General features: G+C 38.7%; 1 protein-coding gene across 3 annotated transcripts in view; it reads left to right on the forward strand.

Annotated features, from left to right (window-relative positions):
• The window catches only part of RXFP2 (relaxin family peptide receptor 2), a 63,864-nt gene that overhangs the window by 20,482 nt on the left and 15,742 nt on the right, over window positions 1-27,640 (forward strand). For 2 of the 3 annotated variants that reach the window (NM_130806.5, XM_017020389.2), the window contains exons 3-13: window positions 1,717-1,794; window positions 5,030-5,135; window positions 5,949-6,020; window positions 14,613-14,684; window positions 15,311-15,382; window positions 17,369-17,440; window positions 18,505-18,576; window positions 21,664-21,735; window positions 22,669-22,740; window positions 26,376-26,447; window positions 26,559-26,630. In NM_130806.5, coding sequence (NP_570718.1) covers window positions 1,717-1,794; window positions 5,030-5,135; window positions 5,949-6,020; window positions 14,613-14,684; window positions 15,311-15,382; window positions 17,369-17,440; window positions 18,505-18,576; window positions 21,664-21,735; window positions 22,669-22,740; window positions 26,376-26,447; window positions 26,559-26,630 — 832 coding nt within the window. The remainder of the gene's footprint in view (window positions 1-1,716; window positions 1,795-5,029; window positions 5,136-5,948; window positions 6,021-14,612; window positions 14,685-15,310; window positions 15,383-17,368; window positions 17,441-18,504; window positions 18,577-21,663; window positions 21,736-22,668; window positions 22,741-26,375; window positions 26,448-26,558; window positions 26,631-27,640) is intronic. The other variant, NM_001166058.2, reaches the window with a different exon arrangement.

Consider the following 27,640-nt stretch of genomic DNA (forward strand, 5'->3'; position numbering starts at 1 on the left):
TCACAGCACCCTGGGTGTATCTGTATGCTGCACAAAGTAGAATGCCTTATCTTTTCAGTGTTGTTGTTGTTTGTTTGTTTGTTTGTTTGTTTGTTTTAGAGATGGAGTCTTGCTCTTGTTGCCCAGGATGGAGTTCAATGGCGTGATCTCAGCTCACTGCAACCTCTGCCTCCTGGGTTCAAGTGATTCTCCTGCCTCAGCCTCATGAGTAGCTGGGATTACAGGCGCCCTCCACCATGCCCAGCTAATTTTTTTGTATTTTTAATAGAGACGGGGTTTCAACATGTTGGCCGGGCTGGTCTGGAACTCCTGACCTTAGGTGATCCGCCCGCCTCGGCCTCCCAAAGTGCTGGGATTACAGGCATGAGCCACTGCGCTTGGCCCTTATCATTGTATTTATCTTCCTAGACAGGAACTCCTTGAGAAGAGGCCTGAGTCTTATCACCAGAGCTTAGAGCAGTAGAGTACACAGCAGGTACTCAGTCAGTGCTCAGTTTTGGGGGCAACTGTCTGGATGCCAATGGGCAAGTTACTCAAATTCTCATCCTTTCCTCTTTGCTGCATGGGAATCAGAAGCCATGAATGTTTACCCCATGAGGATTTCTGAACCCAAATTAAATAATGCAAGTGAGGGAGCATCATAGTAGCATCATTGAGAGTATTAATAAGAAATAGAAATAAAGATTCCAAGGATCAAAGCAGACTGTGGGCAATTATTTTAATTGATTTAGGTATTTGTGTGAACTTCAGTATCTTACATTATAATGCATATTTTATTATTTTATAACATATAGTGAAATAACAATACTTCACAATTAGGCCTCCTTTTTTAAAAATATGATTTACCAAAAGGAAGAGGAAAATTTGGCAAATAAATTACATTTACATATGACAAATTGACATTAATATATGACAAATTGAGGAAATGTTATTTTACTCAAAAACCTTTATTTATTTATTTATTTGAGACAGGGTCTCCCTCTGTCACCTAGGCTGGAGTGTGGTGCCATGATCATGGTTCACTGCAGCTGTGACCTCCTGGGCTCAAGCTATCCTCCCACCTCAGTCTCCCAAGTAGCTAGGACTACAGGTGCGCACCACCACACCCAGTTAATTTTTTCTGTTTTGTAAAGAGAGGGTCTCCCTATGTTTCCCAAGCTGGTCTTGAACTCCTACATGCAAGTGATCCTCCCACCTCAGCCTCCCAAAGTGCTGAGGTTACAGACGAGTGCCGCTGCACCCAGAAAAAAGCCTTTGAGAAACTTTGCTTTTGCTTTATTAAAAAAAAGTCAGATGACATAAATGTTATCAGAACTCAATATATCTATCAAGTATGTTTCTACATATACAGCAGTATGCACGTGACAAAAACAAAATTCAGATATTTTCTTCAGAGGTCCTCAAAATTAAAGTCAAACATGGACAATGTCTGTATTAGAAATAGATGATATTTTCCAAGACATTTATATTTATGTAAAATAATTATATACTTGCATTGCAAATTTTATGATACATACATTTGGAGTATTTTTCATGTAAAAAAGGGACACCTTGCAGATGTTTGCCTAACTTTTTCTCTCTTACTATGTATTTAAAATATCAATAATTCTATTACTTAAACATATTTTAGTTTAAAATCATTACCAAATTGTTAAATTTTGTCAGATGGTATTTAGTTTCTAGAATAAGTGACACATCTCAATCACTATTTCACAGGTGACACTAGTGGATGGGCGACCATATTTGGCACAGTGCATGGAAATGCTAACAGCGTGGCCTTAACACAGGAGTGCTGTAAGTGGTTTTGATTCAAAGACAGTATCAGCTTTGTGAAAAACATGATTTGTGATGCACAGATTTATATGGGTAATGTGACAAATTCCCTTCAGAATTTCCGTTTTAGTTCAATGTATTTCACTGGCTAACAGGTCTGCTGTCTGCCTGTGATTGGAAAGATAGAAAAAGAAAACGACCATCTCCATTTATGCTATTTTCATGCATTACTCTCTGATTGCAAGAATATATAAGTATTGAATAATTGTGACAAATAGTAAAGTTCTTATTACTTTTAACTATTTTCTTCAAGAAAGATGTTAGGCACTGAGAGGACAACGATGACTAAGACTGAGTTCTAACCCACAAACATCTCACATGTAGCAGGAAAGACAGCTCCTTACAAAAGCAGTGATGATATAATATTATTGCTAAAAGGGAGGAATAATGTTTGCACCAGGGAATGGGGAAGCCCATTGGAAGAAATGATGGCTGTGCTGAGGATGGGGAAAGATTCCCAGAGAGGATAACATTTGAGATGGACTTTGAAGTCCATGGATGAAGGAAAGGATATGAGGTGACAGGATGAGCAGAGGAGCAAGATCAACAAAACACTGGGGTCAGAAGATGCGCAGCAGGCTGCAGGATGCCTCTTCACAACCATTCTGAGTGCATGAGGTGGAGGGGCAGGAGCCGAGCCTAGAAGGCTGGTGCTAGCCCATGAAGGGTTTTGGTGTACACCTTGAAGTGTGGCCTCTATCCCATAGATAGAATTTTTGGGGTGTGTGTGTATATGTAGAGACATAGATATATAATTAGGAAGATGAATGTACAATTACATACATTAGTATGTATATGTAAATGTATATATATAACATATATATCAAATACTACACTGATAGTATTTTATGTACTCTATAATACCAGTTTATAATTACCACTTATATATTTTATTATACACAAGAATATTCTGTATGAAAATTAGAAAGTAAAAAAGGATAAGATTAAAAATAAATATAACCAAAAGTTCTACTATTCTACCTGAGCCACAATGAGTTGTCTTGCCCACATCCCATTTTAAAGGTTACTGCTGTATAGAATGGGAAATCATCATAGTTTTGGGCCTTATGTTTGTTTGATTTGTTCTATATTTCTTTCATTCTTAATGAGGAGGAAGAGCATGTGATCAGAAATGTATGTGAGGAAGATTATTTCATTAGAATTGCAGAGAATGGATTAGAGCAGCGAGTCTCAGCCATGGCAACAGTGCCTGCAAAGAACGTTTGACAGTGTCTGGAGACTTTTTTTTTTTTTTTTTTTTGAGACAGCATCTCACTCTGTTGCCCAGGATGGAGTGCAGTGATACAATCACAGCTCACTGCAGCCTCAAACCTCCCAGGCTCAACTGATCCTTCCAACTCAGCCTCCTGAGTAGCTGGGACCACAGACATGCACCACCATGCCTGGCTAATTTTCATATTCTTTGTAGAGATGGGGTCTTACCATGTTGCCCAGGCTGGTCTCAAACTGCTGGGCTCAAGCAGTCCACCCATCTCAGCCCCCCAAAGTGTTGGGATTACGGGTGTGAGCCACGCATGCCCAGCCTGGAGACACTTTTGGTCATCCTGATGGAGGAGGGTGGGTTGCTGCTGGCATCTAGTGGGTAGAGGCCAGGGCTACTGCTGAACATCCTACAATGCAAAGGACAGCCTCCCATGACAAAGAACGATTGATCCAAAATGTCAATCATGTTCAGATAGAGGAGAAAGAATGATGATAAAAGAGTTACTGGTTATTATGTTTATTCCAATCCCCAGAAAATGCCATTGAGAAGATTGAGGTAGAGAGAGATGCAAAAGGAGTTTCAGAAAAAGAATCCACAAAATCATGGGGACATGATTGGTTTGCAGGTGATGGAGGGTGAACAGTTAATGCTCACATTTCTGGTGTTGACAGCACACCCAGCTTGACCATATGAAATTATTCTATTGGTAAATAAGTTTCCAACCACAGGTTTTCAATTTAATCATATAACCACTATTTCAATGGTGGTTATGTCAATAAACATTGACGTAAGCATATGAAAGTTATCTTTAGGAAGTTGAGCTAATTAACATATATGTATAGACAACATAAAATATTTTCCAAAATGTATACACTAAAAGCATCTTTTACATTAAGTACTCAGTAGAAGTTTGTTGGCTTTACTAATAAAATTCAGTAAAATTTATTTTTAAAATAACATTTGGATAAAAGTGATCTAAAAGAAGAAGGGCACCTGAAAAGAACTTATAATTACATTAAAATAAATAACAAAATAAATTCAAAAATAACTCTCACATTCTTAGCTCTATCAGTACAAATATTCATAGGCTCAGAGGAGAAATCAGACTCCAAAAATACTTGCTCTTTCTCTCAAAGCCTCGCTCTCTCTCCTCTGCCCTCGTCTGTCTCTCTCTCTTTCACACACACACACACACACACACACACACACACACACACACACACAGTGACTGTCCTATGGACCAGCTTGGCCTGGCTTCTCCTTAGATTTCTCACTCCTTTACATGTCATTATCCTAGTAACTACGTAAGTCCCTTCAGAGTACATCCTGAGTCCTTCTTCTTTCTTCTGAATGCTTCAGATAGATAGATCTTTGGTTATTTCAGCTTTGCAGCTTTTTACCTTCAACTTTCAACCTCATAGTAATAAAAAACAAAGAACCAAAATGAAGGAATATCTGGCTGGATGGATTTTAGTAAGGTGCCAGGGTGGTTATGGTAGAACCTGCATCTCAATCTTCTCATGGCTCTAAGGGAAGTTTGAAGGAAGAAAAAAAATGAATCTGATTTTAAACAATAAGGATTTATTGAGCAACTATTTTATGCTATTCAAATGAATTGACTCAGTCATATCCATTAAGAATTACTCAATCATACAAATGTTTTTCATTGAAGTGAACTTAATCTTGCTTCACTAGATGAGTTTATGCTAGTTAACATTTTGTGCGTTTTTTCCAATCACTTGGTAAATGCCTCTGAAATGACTACTAGAAGCTAGAACTGAGATTAACACATTAGTCTGCATTTAAGTAGGAGAGAATTCTTATTTAATTTTATTAGGGGCTGAATGAGTTCATTTAACAGATGTAAATTTTATACATTCGATGAAAAGAAAACAATATCAGTTATTAAAGGCAAAGTCATAATTAATGTATTTGTTTACTAGTGAAATCTTACTCTTTTTGTCCCATTAGTTCTAAAACAGTATCCACAATGCTGTGACTGCAAAGAAACTGAATTGGAATGTGTAAATGGTGACTTAAAGTCTGTGCCGATGATTTCTAACAATGTGACATTACTGTGAGTAAAACTTAATTATTGGTGATATCTGTCCCTATAGTCACATGAAAACCAAGAAAAAACCCAATAGTGTTGCTTGTGCATTAGCAAAATAATAGAAACCCTGTTTAAAACTACCAGTCATCAGAGAATTCTCCATGCTTCCTATTCAGGGGGAAAAAATGGTTTACACACTGTATGTTAGATTAGCCTGTCATCAGTTAGCTCACAAATGTCTGTGGGCCTGGAGTTCTTATTTTCAATTGCTTTCTGATTTATGTATGATTACTACTGTCCTTGTGTTGAAATGCTTTTTTTTTTTGTTTTAAAAGGAAGCACACTCACTTATTCTACGTTTTTTTTAACGTTGGTAATCTATCCAAGACTGCAAAGATATAAAAGATCCATGAAGCTAGTAGCTATGTTATATCATGCAAAATTTTCTGTACTTTGCATAAAGTTCTTGAAAGCCTCAGGAATTTGCAGTCATGTCATCATTTGGGCATGCATGAGTGGGTTGGGATCTTTGGCTGGTTTTTGGTTTGGTTTGGTTTGTTAATGCACCCACAGAGTAAAAACAAAGAAGTTAAATCAACATGGACTTCCCAGTCTACTATACTAACTGGCTACATTTGTCAAATACTCACAAGCTACTTTATTTTGCTTTATAAACTTTTCATTCTCCCATGAAAAATTTTTAGTTATTGTCATGTTCAAATATGGATTAGTATAATGAACGTCATCAAATATTCTTTTCCCAAGCATGTGGCTTCTAGGGAAGAGTGGGTTGGCCATAACAATCCATAATGAAGTTTGCTTTACATGTTATTTTAGGTCTCTTAAGAAAAACAAAATCCACAGTCTTCCAGATAAAGTTTTCATCAAATACACAAAACTTAAAAAGATGTAAGTAGCCGTTAATAGCATATTTATTTAAAAAAAATCCTCGTGGTGGTGTAAGATGTTTTTGATCTAAAAATAAAATATTGTTTGTTATCTTTATCATTACATTTATGTTTCTAAATGTAATTAAGATTAGAAAATAAAACATTTGAAAGTATGTTATCTTTCCATTTCATAATTTGAAGGAGCTGAACCCATTTTATTTAAACTTTTTCAGAGAATTAACTTGGAGTCGAGGTAAAACATCTCAATAGGAAAATACACAGTTCCATTATTTTCCTCAAGATATTGGGAAAATGACATTGCAGATTCAGAGGCACTTTTTCACTTGAAAAAAAAAGAGTGACAGCATAAACAAGAACAATCAGATCATTTCAGATACATAATGATAGGGTACAGATATCCCCCAGGGTGTTAGGAGTGAAAACACAGGAGTTATGCAACCAGTGATATTAACATATCTGAGGAAAGAAAATGCCAATAAATAGGATATGATCAGCAGAGAAGGTATTCTGTGACAAAGAAGGGCCAATATGCTTCCAGAATCATCCAAGAAAGAAAACCGGGAACTGGGAAATATAATCCCTAGAGATGATCTCTCTTGGAGGGTCAGGATGCACCATCAATCCCCACCACAATTTTCATGAACAATCCCTTTGCTTTGATTCTCTACTCACCAAGAAACCTTAGGATGATGAATTTAATTTCCCAACTTCTTCATTTTAAAGTATTTGAAAAGTTGCATGGCATAGAGAATAAGAGCATTCCTATAAGTGGGATGGGATGCTTTCTATTCACATTAATAAATGGAGAATATTCAGGTTCGTGTATCAGTCATTTGTAAGTTGGATCAATATCTGTCAATCCCTCTGGGCCAGTTGCTCTGTGGCACTGGAGGGGCTACACCTGCTGAGATGATCATTAGACTAGATAACAAAATTAGCAAGAGAATGCTGTACACGCTGCAAGCCCCCTTGGTGGTACCATCATCTTATTGTTTTATCCTTCAATATCCAGCATAGAGGAGAAAAGTTTCTAGAAATGTGAAATTTATGAAAATCCAGGAATAAAAATTATCTGAATCTTTGCTGATACTGGGCACACACATTTGGTTTGAAATACCATCAAGGATTTTGTGTTCCTGAATTTAGGTATAAATTTCCTCATACAAGAAAAGAAGTAGCTAATGGAAGTCCATGACGTAGAACCTTGTGTGAACATCAATACTCAATCATACCTGGGCTTGATTGTGGCCTCTGTAAACCCCGGCTGCTCTCAGACCTGTTGCTTCATCCTAAAGTATGTGGGTATGTGGTCATGTCATTGCCACACTGGAGTAGCTATGCATTGGCTCTGCATGTCCAGATTCCTCTAGAGAGGAAATTCTAACCACATTCTTCCTAGTCTTCCAAGAAATCCCTAAAATCACAACATGTTCATTAGATGAATCAATATTGTCTTTGTACTGCCTGAATAATACATGTGGGAGGAAAAATAAAATAGCACTAGCAGAAAGGAAGGGAAGAGATTTTCGTTTCAGAATTCTTGTTTCACAGCAATTGAAATTCTATTTTCTAGAGTCATAGAAGTTTTAAGAATTTCTAATTAAATCTTCTCATTACACACGAAGTGACTAAAGTCTGCAATGGTTAAATGACTCACCTAAGATCTACAACTAGTAAGTGGAAGACCCAGAATTAGAGCCAATGTCTTCTGATGTCCAAGGTAGTGCTTACTTTACCATAACAGGAAACCTTAAGAGGGAAAGAAATAGTTCTAGCAATCAACTGAATTTCTACCAGCACAGACTGTCCCACCCCATGTAGAATTCCCTTGTATATGTTTTGCCCCCTAATCTGGGGCAAGCTGACTTCTGGGGAGGGGGCGGAGTCACTAGAGGCTCAAGCAGGAGGGTTAAAATTAGACTTCTCAGGCCACGTCCTTCCTTGGTCTATTAACTCATAACTGTGTTCTATGCCAATATCTCCCTCTGTGGTCCCAGGCCCTGCTAGCCCACTGAAGAGAAGAATATAGAAGCAATTTAATAATTCAGGTCCACAATTTTCCTAGTGAAAAAAGATAGAGACTAACCTTTATTGCCAAGATTAGCTAGCAATTTCTCTAAGTAAATGTCTAATTCTACTTTGTCAGAGAAAACAGGCACCACATCATAACCTGAATATCACCTGACAGGGCTTCTCCCCATGCAAGCTGCTATTTGATGATTTGCAGGCAATTTAATTTTCCCAGAGACTAATAGAAAAGAGGTTATGAGACTCTCATCAATAAACATTCACCAAGTGTCTATTATATGTAAGATAAAGCACAGGGGGATAAAACACAATTGCTTACAGTCATCTACCACTTTTTAAAGTTTACAAAGAATTCCAATATTTGGAATTTTCACTTTGGCTTTGATCTCCAAAGTCTGTGAGGTGGGGCAGACACCGTTACAGCAGTTTCAGGAATGAGGAAAGCTACTTGGGGAGAGAGGTTGTTTGCCCAAAGTCAGTCAGCTGACAAGTAATAGAGATTGGCCTCAAACCCAAACCTTCTGACCATGCTCCTTTGGAAGCCCACCCACATAGTCCAGGCTCAGAATATGTTATTATCAATGAAACCACCCAGTAAGTAAACTTTGATTTGAAAATAACTCAAGTTCTTTATACTCAAATATCCTAGAGCAGCTCATAAGCTCAACAATGCTTCCTTAAATCTCCTTTCCTCACCATCCCCTTTACCCACATTCCTCAACTCCTCCTGCTCTTTTCCAAACTCCCAGAAAAATAGCCCCCTGCACCAGTCCTACTTCTTGTCCCTCCTGTCCATCTACTCTTACCTTTTTCTTCCCAATCCTCATTCAATGACCCAAATAACAAATGTGGCAAATACCAAACCATCCCCAGGAAGGGATGTCAGTTGGAGGAAGAAACCAGATGGGCCTCAGCCAGAACTCTTGGTATGGAATCTGGTAGCAGGAGAGCAGTAGCTAGCAAGACCCACATATTCATTCACTCCTGTGATGAATATTTATTGATACCTACAAGGTGCCAGGCACCAAGGATACAGCATGAACAACACAGATGAAAAGATGAAATTAAGCTTGTGGAGCTTAATTTCCAATCAAGAAAGATAGTCAATAAACAAAGTTTAAAATATATAATTTGTTAGGTGGTGGTGAGGGCTAAAAATAAACCAGAAAGAGGATTAGAAGGTGCTGGGGAAATGGAATTTCAAACAATTCACTAATAATTTTGTCCACATTACCACTGCTCAAGGCGCCTCTAAAGCTTCCCATCATTCCTAAATTTACCCCCAAGAGACTGCTCAGAACACATCTAATTGGTCTTCTACATACGTCTACAGGTATTTAAGACTAGCTATCATCACCCTCCACCACACCACTAATCTCTTCCCTAAGTATCCTCATTTCCTTAAATTCCTCCCCAAAGGACATAGTTTCAAATCTGTTCTTCATTCTAGTCACAATAATCTGCATATGTTTACCTACATTTGTCTTGATGGGTGACATCTAGAATAAATATACTATTATCACCGTAACATGACCGAGGCAAATAGGGAAGAACTCGCATCCCTTTCCTTCTGCACTCTATGTGCCCTATGATTATATTGCTCTTTTGATGACTTCTTGATACTCTTGACTCCTAGTGATCTATAATTTCTAATTCCATGCCACATGTGTTGCTGCTAAGTGATGTGTGTGCTACATCTTGTACTCATGCACTTAGCATTTGAGAGTTAGTCATGGGTCCTTAAATACATCCCTAGTCAGTTTCATCCTGTTAGAGTCAGCTTTTCTTACCGGAGTGTGAAGGTCTTTTTGTATTTTCCATCATAGTCACTACTCCTCTCATAATTATGTCATCTGCAAATAAGATCAACTACCTTCACCCAGGTCATGGAGTAAAATATTGAAGAGAACAGCACTAAATTGTCTTTCTATATTCCTTCATCATCATCCTTCAGATAAGAATATGTGTCATTCTTTCTTTTGTCCATAAAAAATTATAAAACTGCTTGATCAATGCCCAGTAGACATGTAACAATGTTTATCACATAGTTTTGCACAGTCTTTCAAAGAAGAATATGAAGTTGGTCTGCCATGTGGTTTCTTGTGAGCTCTCCTGGTCACTCTCTCTTTGAGGCATAGACAAAGCAGCATCATATTCACCTGTTCTATGATCTTCCCAAGACCAGCATTGAGCTCATCCAACTACAGCTTGTGAAACCAACTTCTTCCCTTTTTGAGAACTTAAGACTACATTTGCCATCTTTTACTTTCCAGCTGCTCATCCTTTCTCTGGATTCCTCAGCAACTGATCATAATTTGATGTTCTCATTTTTTGGCATTTCTCAATTTCTGGGAGAAAATTTCCAAACCAGAGGGCTTTAATTAATTTTGATTAACACCTTCTACCATCTTGGGCTTTCACTGACCTGCCATATAGCCTTTCCATTTGCTTCAATCCTAAGACCATCTTCTTTGATCCAGAACACAAGAACAAAGTAGGAGTTGAGAAATAAGCAGTTGTTCCTTTTATATTATCTCACAACATTATAAAACAGGTTCCAGGAGGCAAACTGAGACTTTCCTTGACACTTTCTTGCTTCTCCAACTAGATACACATTTTTATTGCCACAGTATTCTCTACTGTTTGAGTTTTACACATGACTCGGGTCAACTACAATTCTATTTTCATGAAGCCCTCACTTTCCTTCTCGAAGGAACAACTCTCTGACCACCATACCCTCCTCATGGGCTGGACAGTCCTCCTGGTTCTCTCTTAGTCTATTGAGGCCTGTGTCGTAGCATACCTAGTAAGAAACCCATAAGGACTAATGAGTATTTGCTGAATGAACGATGGGTAGCACTAACATGTAGAACTAAAGAGAAGGTGGGGAGCATCTTCACCAGGGAGAAGAAAGAAACATAAGCAGAAATACTCAAAGGATGTTGAGAAGAGAGTGAACATGCAGTTTGCCTAAAGGAAAGGCATCCCCACAGGAGATGATGGAGCGTATGCCGGAGAGGTCACTGAATCTTGATTGTATGCCAGCTAAGGCATCTGAATTTTATTCTGTTTGAGCAGAGAACAGACATGCACAAATATGTGTTTTAGACTGTATTGAGCTAATAAAGTTAATCTGCATATTTAAGTTGTATTGGGATATATCCTATGCCAGGGGTTCCCAGACCCCAAATCACAGAGCGGTACCAGTCTGTGGCATGTTAGGAACTGGGCTGCACAGCAGGAGGTGAGTGGTGAGCGAGCAAGCAAAGCTGAGCTCTGCCTCCTCCTGTCGGATCAGCAGTGGCATTAGATTCTCACCGTAGTGTGAACACTATTGTGAACTGCACATGCAAGGGATCTGGGTTGTGCACTCTTTAAGAGAATCTAAGGATAAATGTAATGCACTTGAATCATCCTGAAACCATCCCCCCTCTCCATCCATAGAAAAATTGGCCAGGCACAGTGGCTCAAGCCTGTAATCCCAGCACTTTCAGAGGCTGAGGCAGGTGGATCTGTTGAGGTCAGAAGTTTGAGACCAGCCTGGCCAACATCGTGAATGTCTCTACTAAAAATACAACAAAAACATTAGCTGGGCATGGTGGCGTGCATCTGTAGTCCCAGCTACTCAAGAGGGTGAGGCAGGAGAATCGCTTGACCCCAAAAAGTCCAGATTGCAGTGAGCCAAGAACTCACCACAGCACTCCAGCCTGGGCAATGGAGCGTAACTCTGTCTTAAAAAAAAAAAAGAAAGAAAGAAAGAAAAAAGAAAAATTGTCTTCTACGAAACCGTGGGGACTGTTGTCCTGCGAGATCACCAAATTTAATGTCAAGAGGGTCTCCAGTCTGGAATGCTCTAAATATTCACAGTGGAGTTGAGATCATTTAGGCATCCAAAAAAAAACAAAAAACAAATTCCTAAATCAAAATTAAATCTTAATTGCCAGATGAATGTGTTGCTTAACTGATCTGAATGTTTTTACCATTGATCAGTTTATTCATTTTAATAATCTTTTAAAATGTCAGGCCTTTCTAAATTGGGGGTGGATGCAGTTTCAAATGACCTTTCAGGGAAATAAAATACAATTTATGGAATTGACTATAATACTTTATCACTGCTACCATGGAAACAAACAGCAGTTCTCCTCCTTATTGTAACAAAAACCTTTTATAAATTAGGAATTCCTTCTTAATCTGGGTTCTTGTTAAATACAATCACTGGAAACAAAACGAAACTCAAGGTGTCTGCCTGGCTCTTGAATACAAAATGGCACATTCAAAAATTGCCTATAAACATGCATGTCATTAAAGCATTTATTTGCTTTAGTTTCGGGTACATAAATTCCTGGCATTTCTGCTTGAAAAGTCCTGACAGCTGAAACTGCAGGAATTCATGAACCTGTAAGTTATCCTTAGAAAAGGCATTCGGTGTAAAGTATATTAAATGGGCTTATATCTCAGCTCTGAATAAAAAGAGGGCGCCACTTGCCAAGTTGTCATGTTTCCAAATATCCCCACACATTCTTTAAGCTACTATTCTGCAAAGAAGACAGCAGAGACTAGAGGATGGAGTTCAAGTTCAGCAGCCTAAGTCTGAGACATGGAACGTAGGAGGGACTACAGTTCTCTATGGGGTGGCAACCAGCTAACTAAATAGAAGACTAGAAGCTCTTCATTATTTAAGAGTTTGAGTTTTAACTGATGTCAGTGAAGGGAGATAGGTTGTACACATCAGATGAGTTGTGTGGATCACTGGTTTTACTCTTTCTTTCCCTTGACTTATAAGACAAAAGCGTAAGGTCAAATTCACAATTTGCAACTGCATTCATCTCTTCAAGATGTGACAACATGTAGGTAAAATATACATTCCATTTTTGAATTTCTCATCTTGAATAAAATGTAAATAGCATTAGTTAAGCAGTGAATTGTATATTTAAGAGAAACTTCAATATACCTACAATACAGTATTTTGCTCTTTTTCTATTTTCATTTGCTACTGTAACATAATTCATCATATTAACTTCATTGCATCAGTCTCAAGGCTCTGAAAGTGCTAAAACAGATATTGATCTGTGTGAGTTCATCCTATTCACAGCAGAACCTTCAACCAAAAGCAGAATGTATGCTGCTCTGTGAAGCATCTCCCCATAGATATGGTACCGGGAATGGGGGTTAAGATGGCACAAGGTCACACTGGGTTTCAAGTTTACTTTGCAGGATTGAAATTGATGCTTTGCATATCACCACAGATGTGATGTTCTGTAGTGCCAACACTTGGCACATGGAGGAACATAGGGAAAATGACCGTATTTGTAAAGTACTTGGGGTAAAAGATTGTGTTTGCTGATAACTGGAAGCCTGTCCTGGCTTTTTTTTTTTCCTTTCTAATAATCTTTATTTACTTTCACTTTCTTTTTTTAATTGAAGTTAAATAAGTGTACTTTACCATCTTTACCATTTTTAAGTGTACAGTTTAGTGGTAGTAAATATTCATTTGTACCCCTTCATCTCCCCGCTTCCTGACCTCTGATAACCCCTCCAATCTTGGCTTTACCTGGCTCTCTTCAGGTCTGAAAGAGTCACCATCCTGGCACTCTTATAAGACAATCGTGACTCAGAGGCAAAGGCTGGGGAGCTCTGCTAGGAAATAATCATGGTATAACAAAATTCACAGTATAGCCAGACGTCAAATGAGCATGTGATCTACAAATAGTTTTGCAGTAGAATATCATAACAATGAAACAGCGCTGTGTAATAGTTTAGGAAGCAATTCAAACCAAAATAAGAGAAATGGAAGCCATTCAAAAGACTATGTAACAATTTGTTACTATTAGTATAGTTATTTCCTGCCCCTGAGAGCCTTCAGAGAATAGGAATTCAGAGCTAACTTCCCATTGTACAATGAAGACAGCAAATGGAAATTATTTACTTAGATACTCCTGACAGCGCAATTACGGAATCAATACTGTACTATTAAGTTGCTTCAGAGGTTAAGTCAGTCCTGATCCTATGACTTGAAATTGGCATACTTGCCCTGGTTCAACTGCTGATGTCCTTTGATATCCTGAGTACCTAACTTGCCTTGTCCTTCTCACTTTGCATCATGAAATAGAAAAGAATTAAAGCTTGCCCTCTCCTTTATTTCATGGGAATAGAATAAGGATAAATGAGGAGTTAAAGGTGCATCTCTGTGCACAAAGAGGAAGAAAGTTCAGCAGTGCGAGGCTGGCTAGTCTCACATGGCCAGAAACTCCTGCCAGTCAGAACAGGACGGTCACCATAGTGCCAGTTTGCAGAAACAAGACTAGATCCTTCCGCAGACACATCACACTGGAGTTCAGCGTATGAATCAGAGATGCCTCAATCTCATTGCATGAGTACTATGAGGAAAGCACTGGCTAGTTGGTAGCCATTTCTCACTGACAACATCTCCCCAACATGAGAATAGGACTTCGTACTTCAATTTCACAATTGTCTTCAGGTAAAGAAAGTGGAGAATATGTTCAACAACCTAATATAGTCCATAAACCATAATCACCTGACTCTCTTATCTTATTCCTACCAGATTTCTTCAGCATAATTGCATTAGACACATATCCAGGAAAGCATTTTTTGGATTATGTAATCTGCAAATATTGTGAGTAACCTCTTTCTCATATTGTAGGTATAATTTTAAGCAAAGACTAAAAGGATAGAATGGTACTTTTTCAAGGCTCGACTTGATTGTAGGGAAGTGGGAGGAATAGGTTATCACAAAGTACTTAGATTAGTTATTACACTGAAAGAATTATTAAACGATTCCTACCTTTACCAGAAGACATACAAAGGTTCTCCTTAACCTTGTCTTCTCTAGCTTGGGTCACTTCCACAATATTTTAGCATTTTATTTCTTTTCTAACTCTTGCTAACTTGCTATGCATTTTCTTAAAATGCTAGTCTACTAAGGATGTCACCAAAAAGGACAAAAGCAAAAATTGCCCCACATACTTAGTTATTATACCCTTACAATCTAACATGATGTAATATCCCAAAACATTTTAGGACCACTTTCTCTGCCCTGGCCCTGGTGTTGCACACACTGGGCTTGTGGTTATCTGTACCTTCTGGATACCCCTTGAATTTGCCCCCTCTGCTCATTCAGCCGAATACTTTCAGACGCAGATGTCCATATCCATAATCATCATCAGTGGCTCATATTCTAATTATATGTGACTAAAATAGGGTATTGAGTTTGCCTAATTAACTCACCCATGCTATTTGTAGATATCTCAACCACAACTGCATCACAACCCTCAGACCTGGAATATTCAAAGACTTACATCAGCTAACTTGGCTGTAAGTACTCTAATTCTTCTTTCTCCCATAGAGGATCATAGTCTTGATGATATATAACAGTGCTAATGTAGTTTCCACTATTTGACATATCTTATTTTTATACTTGCTTTTCTGATTATCATATAATCTGCAGAACTTTATCCAGGCAATTCAATGTCATGTCAAGTAGTGGTTATGTGCCTGTGCATTTTAGGATGCTAAGAACCATCTGTGGCCTCTACCCACTAGATGCCTGTAGTATACCCCTTCTCCCAAGAGTTGTGACAACTAAAAATGTTTCCAGACATTGCTGAATGTCCCTTGGGAGGAAAAATTGACCTCTGCTGAAAACCACTGTACTGAAAAGTAAGCAAGTTAAGAACTTGTTCTGCTTTCCAGAGCATTCAGAGAGAAGTCTGAAAACATGATAGCTTGTAGTATTTCACCACTTTCCAGACTGAGCCACCAGCTCCGTTCCAAGAAACCTCACGTCAGATGTCTGTGCTTTCACCAGGAAAATACACAAGGGGCGGTTAGCAGGCTTTCTGTATTGTTTGCCCATTTTCTGCAGGTTGGCCTGGTCTAGTGGAAAAAGCCAGGGCCTCAACTTCATCCAAGCCCTTCTGTGTGCCTGGCCCTTAGCCCCATGCTTAGCCTTCCAGGCAACTTTTTCTTTCTTTCCTTTCTTTCTTCTTCTTTCTTTCTTTCTTTCCTTCCTTCTTTCTTTCTTTTCTTTTCTTTCTTTCTTTCTTTCTTTCTTTCTTTCTTTCTTTCTCTTTCTCTCTCTCTCTCTTTCTTCCTTCCTTTCTCTTTCTCTCTTTCTTTCTTTTTTCTTTCTTTCTTGTTTGCTTGCTTGCCTTCCTTTTTTCCTTCCCTCTTTCCTTCTTTTTTTTTTTTTTTTTTTTGAGACAGGGTGTCACTCTGTCACACAGGCTGGAGTGCACTGGTACAATCTCAACTCACTGCAGCCTCAATCTCTGGGACTCAAGCAATCCTCCCACCTCAGCCTCCTGAGTAGTTGGGACTACACGTGTGAGCCACTACACCCAGCGAATTTTTTGTATTTTTAGTAGAAATGGGGTGGGTCTCACCATGTTGCCCAGGATGGTCTCCAACTCCTGAGCTCAAGCGATCTGCCTGCCTAATACTCTCAGTGTTAAGATTACAGGCAAGAGCCACCACGCCCAGCCCAGGCAACTTTCTTAATTTTCCTAGACCTCTTTATTTTCATCTGTAAATTATAATTCCTTTCCAAGAAGGATGTTATGAGGATTATATCACATAACAGTTAAACAGTTCCACATGCAAAGCTCCTGGCATATAGTAGGTGCTCAATGTGGCTTCCTTCTCCCACTCCTGCCCTCACCGGCCACTGCAAGTAAGAGGAAACACAACCTGGCTTCACAGGCAACAAGAGGAATAGAGGCCTATTTCCCCTTACTCTAATTTCTTCTATAAAATATAGTTTAAAACAGTGGTTTGAATATGCAAATAGTTTCACTCTTTCACCCAGAAAGCTCCTTATGAATAGCGTGACATCCATCCATTGATTTAAACACACCTTATTTAATACATCAGTTTAACACCATGTGACCAAAGAACCCTCTGTGATTTCCTAAAAATTATACTTTAATTCATCCTTCAGCTCAGCCAATTAGTAGGTTAAGGCATTTATGGAGCCCAAATGCATTCAATACGTGGAGTTTGTGCCAGACCCAGGTACCCAGAGGTGACAGATACAACCTGGGTCTTTAAGTCCAGCAGGAGGTGGAGGCAGCAGGGAGAAAGCAAAACAATCAGGATCCAACTTGATAAGTGGGATGGAAGCTGTAGGAATTTGGAGGAAAGAGTTGCTCCAACCACAGACGGAAGGAAAAGCTCTCAGGGAAGGGACAGGTGAGCCAAGTATGGAAGCACACAAAGGAGTAGGCCAGGTGTTGAGGGGAGGCAGGTTTTATTTCACAAATGTCTCTAATATTGGAAATGTTTCTTGATACATTTTGTCAGAATTCTAGATGACAATCCAATAACCAGAATTTCACAGCGCTTGTTTACGGGATTAAATTCCTTGTTTTTCCTGTAAGTATTCATCAACCTTTCAATACATCTATCGATACATTGCAATGACATCTAGCACTAGCTTACAAAAAGAACTTTTAAAAAAATCAAGCCCACAAAAATTTTTATTAGTCAAAACTTCTCCTGTGTTTCCAGCCACAGTTACTGTTAATATAATACTTCCTGGCCATGGCTCAAAGGGAAGAGCTGACCAGATCATAATGAATATTTTAAGCCTACTAGTTGATTTTTCTATCCCTTTTAATTTCCTTTAGTACTAAGGCATGTTTTTATTTGCAGTGGTTGACCAAAGATAGTATTAATTTTTATATCCTATGTTTATATTTTCTTAGAATCTCCCAGGAGTTCATCTCCAACTCCATTTTTAATGGAAGAAAATGTGCCTTTGCCCAGCAAGACTCACTGAAACTTTCAAAATCTTTGTCCTACCAAGAGAGCTGTCTCACAATAATATTTTCACTGTTTATTAATACACTAGAATGATTTATCAGCAGGGGATTATTATATTCCTTTACAACTGATCATATAACATCATTATTTTTCCATTTGTCAAAAGGAACCACAATATCATAAATTAATCCTGCAGCTTAACATGCTCAAGAGTTGTTTTCTTTCCCCAAATTCCCCCTACTGTCACTTCTCCAATTTAATGCAGTTTCCAATGTGGCCCTTTAATATTATAAATGATTAATGATGCCCTTAAGAAGAAACTTTGGATGTATGGCACTGGAAATGATTACAACGTGAAGTTTACAAGGAAAATTACCATGAACTTCAAAATTATTACCCAATATATACTTTTGTTTCATCTCATAAAATTAAACTGTGTAACATCTATTCCTAGGATATGTATCATACTTATGCATTCATAGTTTCTTTGACAACATCTGCTCCCTAATCTTTGCCATACACATGTTTTAAAGACCATTTTGAAATAGCTATATATGTTATCATCATAAGATATTAATTTTAGCACGCAAGTTTTGAAATTTTAAAATAATAAAAAGACTGTCCTAAAAGTGTCATATCATTTTATTTCTAATTAACATTTTCTTTGTGTAAAGGTCTATGGTTAATAACTACTTAGAAGCTCTTCCCAAGCAGATGTGTGCCCAAATGCCTCAACTCAACTGGGTGTGAGTATTTATTTAGGAATTAATTTGTTATTTGCCCTGATTAAGGAAACTAGCCATAAAGTTAATTCAAGGTTACCTAGAAAGTCCATCTATAATTTCTTTCCAAAATCAAAATCTGATCATATTACCTTCCCAGTTTCAAAATTATTTGAGGGTTCCCAAAGGGTGAGGGTAAAGTTTGACCTTCCCTTTGAGCATCCAAGACCCTCATTTTCCATTCCTTACCCCATCTAGATGCTATCCCTGACCCTCGTATGCATGTATCAAACTACTACTCCTACAGTCAATTCCCTAAGCATATTGTTCCTTGGACTTAAAAAATCTTGCTCCCTTATTCTTTTGGATAACTTAAACATTTCCTTTGAAAGACAACTTAAACCTCACCTCCAGGAGGTCATTCCTGACACACCAACCAGTTTCAGCAGCCACCTATGTACTCCCACACATTACATCATCTACAAAACTCCACCACACTGCCCTGTCTCAGGGTACTATCTCATCCCTATCTCAGGGTACTATCACCATATAGTCATTGGGCTTGTCTTTTTTTTTTTTTTTTTGAGATGGAGTCTCACTCTGTTACCTTGGCTGGAGTGCAGTGGTGCGATCTCGGCTCACTGCAAGCTCTGTCTCCTGGGTTCAAGTGATTCTCCTGCCTCAGCCTCCCGAGTATCTGGGATTACAGGCATGCACCACCAGGCCTGGCTAATTTTTATATTTTTAGTACAGATGGGGTTTCACCATGTTGGCCAGGCTGGTCTTCAACCCCTGACCTCAGGTGATCCACCCTCCTCAGTGCTTATGTCTTCTATACTGTTCCATAAATTCTGGGAAGGCAGAAACCTATAGTATGATTTCCTACCCCAGCATTAGGACAATGACCAGTACATAATAGGTGCTCAATAAGCCTTTGTTAGGATGGATGTACTAAACCATTTCCACTCCTTGTTAGCTTTTAACCAATACCTGTTTAAAACATTCATTTAATTTACGTCGTACCTTCACCACCATTACCCACCATTCCCTGCCACATACACCTTCACGGTCTTCTGCAACAACCAGGATTGTCATGTCTATTGCTTTCCTGTTCCATGAAAATGCTGATGGTAGCGCTGCTGGAACTCTTCTCTGTCAAATCATGGAACTCAAGACCCATAAGATGATAAAGTTTTAGTACTTCAGCTTTTGATCCCCTCTAAACTAACCTCAAAATCTCTTGTTACAACACTATTAGGTGGTGTTGTGTTTATTTTCTGATGTTTATTTTTATGTATTTATTTAAATATATGCTGTCAAAAGGCTTCTAAAACAGTAGAGGTCTCACGTAAGTGTGCCACTATTAAAAACGGAAATAATGACCTGAACACCATGAGAATAAGAATAGGTGAAAAGAAAATACTTAGAAACTAAACAAGTGCATATACACAATGGGAAACACACAGGAAAGAGTAAAGGTAGCAGAAAAATATCAGGAGCTCAGCCTGCTCTCCCTCCCCAAAAGGGGCATCAGTCAGCAGGAGGTGAGGAACCAGCCTCAGAGCTCAGGGTTCCGGAGACACTTATTTTCACAATGGGCTCACACAAACACGTGGGAAAAAATAGACACACAATAAAAACGCACAGGTAGCAAGACAGCCTGATTGCAATTGAGAGCCTTTCAACACAGAGGGTAGGAAGCTGAAAGGCCAGACAGGAAGAAAGGCCAGACAGGAGAAAACCTGTCCTGGGGAGGCTTCTCCTCTTCCGTTACTTGCTGTCAAGTTGGACAATTGCTCCCACAACACCAAAGTGTCCTTCTTCGGAGAACATGAAAAACATTTTTTCCATTCCATTTCACAATATTTGGATTTTTAGGAGAGTATGGTGTTTGTTATTTTTAATCACAGTATATTGTGTGAAAAATGTACATCTCAAGTTCCTACACAAATCTCCAAGATAGTTTTAAAATAGGATTTTCTTAAAATGACAAAGGGATTGGTGATTTTAGTGTGACTATGAGAAAAGTTCAGAAGAAGAAAAATAGCTATTGCCATATTTGGGGAACACTGTAAGAAGCTGACTATGAAAAGGAATCAGGAGACTTGGCAGAAAAATGGGCTGTTTCTTAGTCCCCCGCATTGCTCAAAGAGGGAATGTCAGAGTGTTCCGGAAGGCGCTGTCCACGTATGTGGGATGCCACTGACCTGCAGAATTACCTGGCAAAATGAAATCTCCCCAGCAGTGCTTCTCAGACATCAGCGTGCATCGTAAACAATGGGCGAACTTGCTGAGACACAGATGGCTGGACTTCAGTACTAGAGTTTCTGATTCAGTCGGTCTTGGGCAAGAATCTGCATTTCTAGCAAGTTCCAGGCAGCGCTGAGGTTGCATCCCTGCCATTCTGAGCAGCATTGCCCTTGGCATTAGCGTCCTTGAGGCATCATAGAAAGAGCCTGCACTTTGGCATCACACAGATCGGGATTCACATCCTGTCTCTGGTGTTCAGTATGTGCAGGATAACTTTGGCCTGAGATTCTCCTTCAGCAAAACAGAGACAAGAACATCTACCTGATGTTGGAGGGAATGTGAGGATATAATGATCAATGACGCCACAGACATGGTAGTTAAGTGTCTAGGCTTTAGATTCTGACAGATCTGAGCTGGGTCAGTTCTACCACTTACTAGCTGTGTGGTCAGAAGGAAAGTGAATCACCAAAAGCCTTGGATTTCTCTTATGTTAAATGGGGGATAATAGCAGCAATTTGGCAGGAGTGCTGTGTGATGCGTGTAGAACAGCACCTGGCACCATAAAAGCCCAATCAATGGTAGTTTATGATGGGTTGGGCAATATTATAATTAATAGCATAGCATTCAGCACAGAAAGACGCTCGCTAAAAGTTAGGCTGCCCTTTCCTCAATTTTATTAACATTAGTTGGAAGGGGGAAAGAAGCATAATATTAGTTATACTAACCTTGCAATAATTAGGAGGAAAGATAGTAACAACTGGAATGAAGTAAAAATAAACTTGATAACCATTTTAAAAAGTATCTCTAAGCATATGATTTGTACAAAAAATATTAAAAATATCTTTCCTCCATGACTTCCAGGGATTTGGAAGGCAATAGAATAAAGTATCTCACAAATTCTACGTTTCTGTCGTGCGATTCGCTCACAGTGCTGTAAGTATACAATGGACTTCACTAAATGAGGGGAAACCCTATATATTTGGAAGTTAAAAAGAAAACATTGACAAAAAATTTTAAAGTAGTGTTTTGTTTACAGCCTTGGTCTGACACTGCAGTGCTAGAAAATGCACACACTGATTTATTGATTTGGATGTTGGGACTGAGCCTCAAGTTAAGGTGCCCACCCTTTAGGGACATCATGTGCCATCTTTATTTCCGTGCACCTTCTCAGCTGAACTGGGACCTGAAAGTTCCAGTTTCCTAACCCCATGGTCACCAAGGAAGGGAAATAATGTATGTGAAAGGGGTTAGCTGTACAATGATTAGCTTTACAATGATTAGCCAATGACTCTTACCATTTGATGTCTTTCTCCCTAAAGAAAAAAAAAATCATAATTTCATCTAAAAGGAAAAACATCTAATGCATTCTGATTGGCCAAAGATTCTGCCTCATGATTCTGATCGCTGTTTATATTTTTTATGGGGGCGGGAAGGCAGATGGTTTGGTCAATCAGTGCATTCATGCTGGAAAGCTTCAAAACATCAGTGTTTTGGTTTTGTTTTAATGATAGTTTTCCACATTTAGTAAGCACTTAGTGATGTTTGTTGATTGGATGGATGATTGGAAAAAAGAATGGAAAAGGAAAATTAAAAGAGACATTTTCTAAAATAATTAGATCCAAACAAAATGCAGCTTTCTAGACCGCACTCAGGACCTCAAATTGCTCATGACAGCACTTCCTGAAGAGAACATGGGGATGTCCACGGTGAAAAAGTCCTGCCTTAGTTTCCACTCCAAAAGATGCCTCCCTTGAAGACTTCAAAGGAGGCTTATAAAATTCTGCCTGGATCAGTGGCCTCTCCCAATGAGAACTGATTACTACAGCAGACGCAAACCCACATGCTGATTCTCGCCATGTCTTACAGGTTTCTGCCTAGAAATCAAATTGGTTTTGTTCCAGAGAAGACATTTTCTTCATTAAAAAATTTAGGAGAACTGTAAGTAGCATCGTCTACTAGGAAAATATGATTGCTTCTTCCGAGATTATAAATTTAAATGACTAGTGAGACTGCTTTGCCACTAGTAGCAATCAAAATCCTGTAGACTATTGGATATTAAAAATCAATTAAGAAAACCAACATTATCCTGAAGTCCAAAGCACATTCAAATCAGACAGTGGGCTAAATATGGATTTAACCTACCCTAGTTTCTCTACTTGTTTTCTTTGGGTGATTTCTTATTTATGTGTGTTTGGGAGTAAATGAGTTTTCCATGGCTTCTTAAACACAGGGATCATTTCTTTCTACTGACTGGAGTATAGTTAATTCCCAATAAATGTTTGATAATGAATAACTGACTAACTGAAATAATATTAATTCCTTATAACTGAACAAAGGAACAAATATGCTTACTAGTCCTTGAGAAATTATGACTTATATAGCAGGTGAAGCAAATCCCAATGCTGAGAATGAGGGTTAGGCTCACGGAAAAAATATTCAGAGAGCTCATGTGAATTTTTTCTGTTCAAATATTTGTTTTATGGATCTAAGCCTTTTAAAATCATTTCTCTCGCTATTAATTCATTGCTCCCCACATAATTGTGTATCAGTGGAAGTTAAAACTAAGTCTGTTACATTACACATAGCAGTGATTAGGATAGAAAACTCATCTTTCTGATTGAGGCCTTAAAATGGAAATTAATTTCTGAATTAATCTCTCCCCATTCTTTACACCTTATTTTGAAATCCAGAAAGGATTGGAGAAAATAATAAGAGTAATCTAAAAAATAACTCATGAATAGTTAAGGTAATTCAATCTAATTAATGAGCATCATAAATCAAATCCACACATATTTATGAAGTGCCTGGTATGTGCAAGGTACTGCATTAGAACTGAAAGTATGATCATTTTATAGGCAAAAACTTAAAGGCAGCTCATTCAGAAAAGACTTCCTCCCAGGGCATTCCTGCCCAGGCTGTGGAGGATGACTGTGGACTTGGGTTGCATGGTGGGGTGGAGGAATAACCCAGGACAAACAGAGGGGTTTTTTGTTTGTTTGTTTGTTTTGTTTTGTTTTGTTTTGAGATGGATTTTTTTGCTCTTGTCACCCAGGCTGGAGTGCAATGGCATGATCTCCACTCACTGCAACCTCTGCCTCCTGGGTTCAAGTGATCCTCCTGCCTCAGCCTCCTGAGTAGTTGGGATTCCAGGTACCTGCCACCATGCCTGGCTAATTTTTTTTTTTTTTTGTATTTTTAGTAGAGACAGGGTTTCACCATGTTGGCCAGGCTGGTCTTGAACTCCTGGCCTCAAGTGATCCACCCGCCTCAGCCTCCCAAAATGCTGGGATTACAAGTGTGAGCCACCACGCCCAACCCAGAGGGGTATTTTATATATAAACTTAAGGAAACAGTGGTACAGAGTCCATATTTTTAAAATTTTCCTAACCCTCTTCGCATCCTACATATAGGCAGAGGCACACCAAAAATAAGAGCCCACTTAAGAGATGCCAGCTTGCTATTAAGATCTATAGTGATCCATTGCAATTCACTTAGCCTCAGAAAGCTAAAAGAAATTCAGAAGCTGGTAGGCTTAACTAGAACAAGGCATTCATATGTCTTGAGTTTACAAATGTTAAGTAGTTTTACTGTGCCTTCATGGCAACAAACCCATCCAGGGAGGAATAAGCACAAGTACTTGAGACCCCCAAAGTCCTTTCCTCCAAAAGAGTGTGCTTTATTTTTCTGGGTAACCCTTTGAAAGGCATTTTCTAGGTGTATGAAATCATCATCATATTGCTTTATTGTCAGGCTCTCTCTGGCCTGTGTGCACCTGTGGTCTCCCTTCTGGGCTGAGATCTAGGTGTGCTCCTCTCATCTGGAGGACCAGATGAGACATCTCACTTGGCAGGACTTCAGACTTTGGTGTCATGACAGCACCTCAAAAGCAACCCATTTGAAACAGAACTAACAAGAGACCCCAACCTGATGGCCAGCTTCTTCACCTGGACTTGCCATCTCAGTGCCTCCTTCCTGGTAGCCAGGCTTGAAGACCATTCCGTTTCCCTCCAACTTTCTCTTAATACATGTTCAGCCAGACCCTGAGCCCTGCTGCTGTCCCCCTTAACCCTCATTTGCTCTCACCTGGTCCATGTAGAAGCTCCTGCCTGGTCTTCCTCCCCCAACTCCCAGGCCTTGTTGCCTGTCTTTCATGCTTCTGACAGAATAATCATTCCATAACCCGGAGTAAATGATGCCATTGCCCTATTTAATGTTCTTACTTCTTGTTGCCTGGTGTTTAGCAAAGTCCTTGACACAGTTCTCAAACATTAATGGGCCGAAGAATCACATGGGATATTGGCTTAAATGCATGTTACCAGGCTCCCTCCCAGAAAGTCTGATGTGATAGTTCCAAGGTGGGTCCCGGGGATGTGCTCTTTTTATAAGCATCCTTGGGGACTTGGATGCTTGGACTCTACTATGAAAACTACTGCCTTGAAGTGCACGCATGGCTTTCCCATTTTGTCTCCACGCACTCTCCATGACGTCCTCTACCTCTCCCTACATCTTGCATCCTCCACCCATGTTGGATCACTTCCTGACTCCTGAAAGTGTCACTGAATTCCAAGCATCTGTGGTTCAGATCATTTTTTACACCCACCTGAGAAGCTGTTCTTCTTTTACCCCACCTAAAATCATCAAGCTTTCTTCAAACACTTCCTAATGTCCCAGGCCAAGACTGATGACTCTTTCCTCTATGTTTTCTCTGCACTTCTATAATAGCACCTGTTTGATTGTTTCCTTGTTTGTATCTAGTTGCTACTCTAAATGTAAGCTTCTTTACAAAAAGAGCTAAGTCATAGTTATTTGTAACTCCCACATAACCATCAGCAGTTCCAGAGTATCAAAAGAGATCATTTTTGTTTGACTCTTAGTTAGGCAACTGTATATCTGTTTTAACATCTTCTCTGGCTCAGAAATATACTCTGGACTCTTAAAGATTCATTTCTTCTGATTTTAACAGGTCTCTTTTCCACATTTTATAGAGTCACTTTCTTAGGATTCTGTCTGGATTGGACAGTCCTATTATATTTAATTCTAAACTTGCAATTTCTTCTGCAAAAATAGTCTTGTAGAAGAACATATTAAAAGCGTGTGAACTTATTCAAGATTATCTGGGCAGATACTGAGTGGACAATATTGTCTTGGTTGGAATGCAAAACAAATCAAAGATGCAAGACTTGACCTCGAAAAGTGTAGTTGGATAAACAAGAGACCACGTATATGAAGCAAGTGGCAATCACAGAAGCATGAAGAGTAGAAGTGTACAAAGAGTATCTAGAGCAAGGGAAATTAACCAAATTAGATATGAAAGCCAGGTTGGGAATGTGTTTGAGAGAGGGTAAGAGGAAATTCCAGATAGGAACTGGACGAGCAAAGTGTTACATGTAAGTGTTGGAAACCGTATCCATTTGGCTGACTCATACGGCCCTGTTGTGTAACAAGTTATCAGGTTGGTTAAATTGGATTCATATTTTCTGTTACATCAAATGGGATGATGATAATTGTGAGGAGTAATAAGTCTGTCATTTACTTCCAAAGTAATTGCTTTGGGTTTTCATTGTCGTCAACAGGGATCTGTCTAGCAATACGATAACGGAACTATCACCTCACCTTTTTAAAGACTTGAAGCTTCTACAAAAGCTGTAAGTTCTACTTCTCACCATAATCAGATTTAAAGGGCAATATTTTGAGCTTTCAAAATAATAATACCTTCAAACTTCTTTTCCTCTCTCATCTAATGGTAAAAAAAAAAGGAACCTGTCATCCAATCCTCTTATGTATCTTCACAAGAACCAGTTTGAAAGTCTTAAACAACTTCAGTCTCTGTAAGTGAAATATTACAATTATATTGATTATAATTTTAGTGGATGTACTTAGAGACACATTTATTTTTAAATGGGTATTTTGCACACAGGAGCATGCATTTCAGACAACTGTCTGAATCACAGATCCCATCAAGTACATACTGAATGACAAATAAGCCTCATTATTTACCATTCGACATGTATGAAGTCCATTTCTGTACTTGAAGAAGGTTTCAGGAATGTCCTTCTTGAAAACTGGGTTCATGTGGCAAAATCTCATCCTACAGTTTTCACAAAGAATTAAATTTGCAATAGTTTTGTTTCTAAAAGTTTGGTTAAAACAAATTATGTAAGACTTGCCTGCTTTTCCCCTTTGCCCTTTCCTACAAGGATCTACTTGATATTAGTGTACAGTGCATTGTTTTACTTTTAAATAAGTTTTTAAAAAACTGTCCCACAAATATGCACATTCAGAAAATTAATGTACAGTATTTTTACATTTCAACCATATTAAGTTTCAGTGGTATCAAGAACTCTGCCACTTTTCCTTTGAACTTCATGATTTCTTTCCAATGGATGGCAATTGCTGGCTAAAGGTTGTTTGTTTTCACACAGACAGCAGACTACGCTGCCTGACTGCAGCCTAAAGCATTTCCTCCTTTAATTCCAAAGACCAATTCTTAGTATCATCTTTTATTCTTGCTAGTTTTCTATCAGAAATTAATGCAAGATTTAGGTTTCTCTCTTACCAGATATTAGTGAGCATCCACTGATGAAAAAGATCTGGTCCCTATTCTTAAGAAGCCATAATATTAAACATATATGTTTATTTTTTAAAATATAAGGACAGACCTGAGGATGTGGACAGCATGATTCTTCTCTTTGCTTACCGCATACTGCATTTCTGAAAGCCAAAATACCAAGTCACTACATAATGCCTTCCTGAAAGTCAAAGTAGTAATTATTTATTACATACTTTTCTTTATTCATTTCTACTTTTTTTCTTTAGTGTTTTTCTTTCTTTCTTTCTT

Source organism: Homo sapiens, chromosome 13, assembly GCF_000001405.40.
Source record: "Homo sapiens chromosome 13, GRCh38.p14 Primary Assembly".
NCBI lineage: Eukaryota > Metazoa > Chordata > Mammalia > Primates > Hominidae > Homo > Homo sapiens.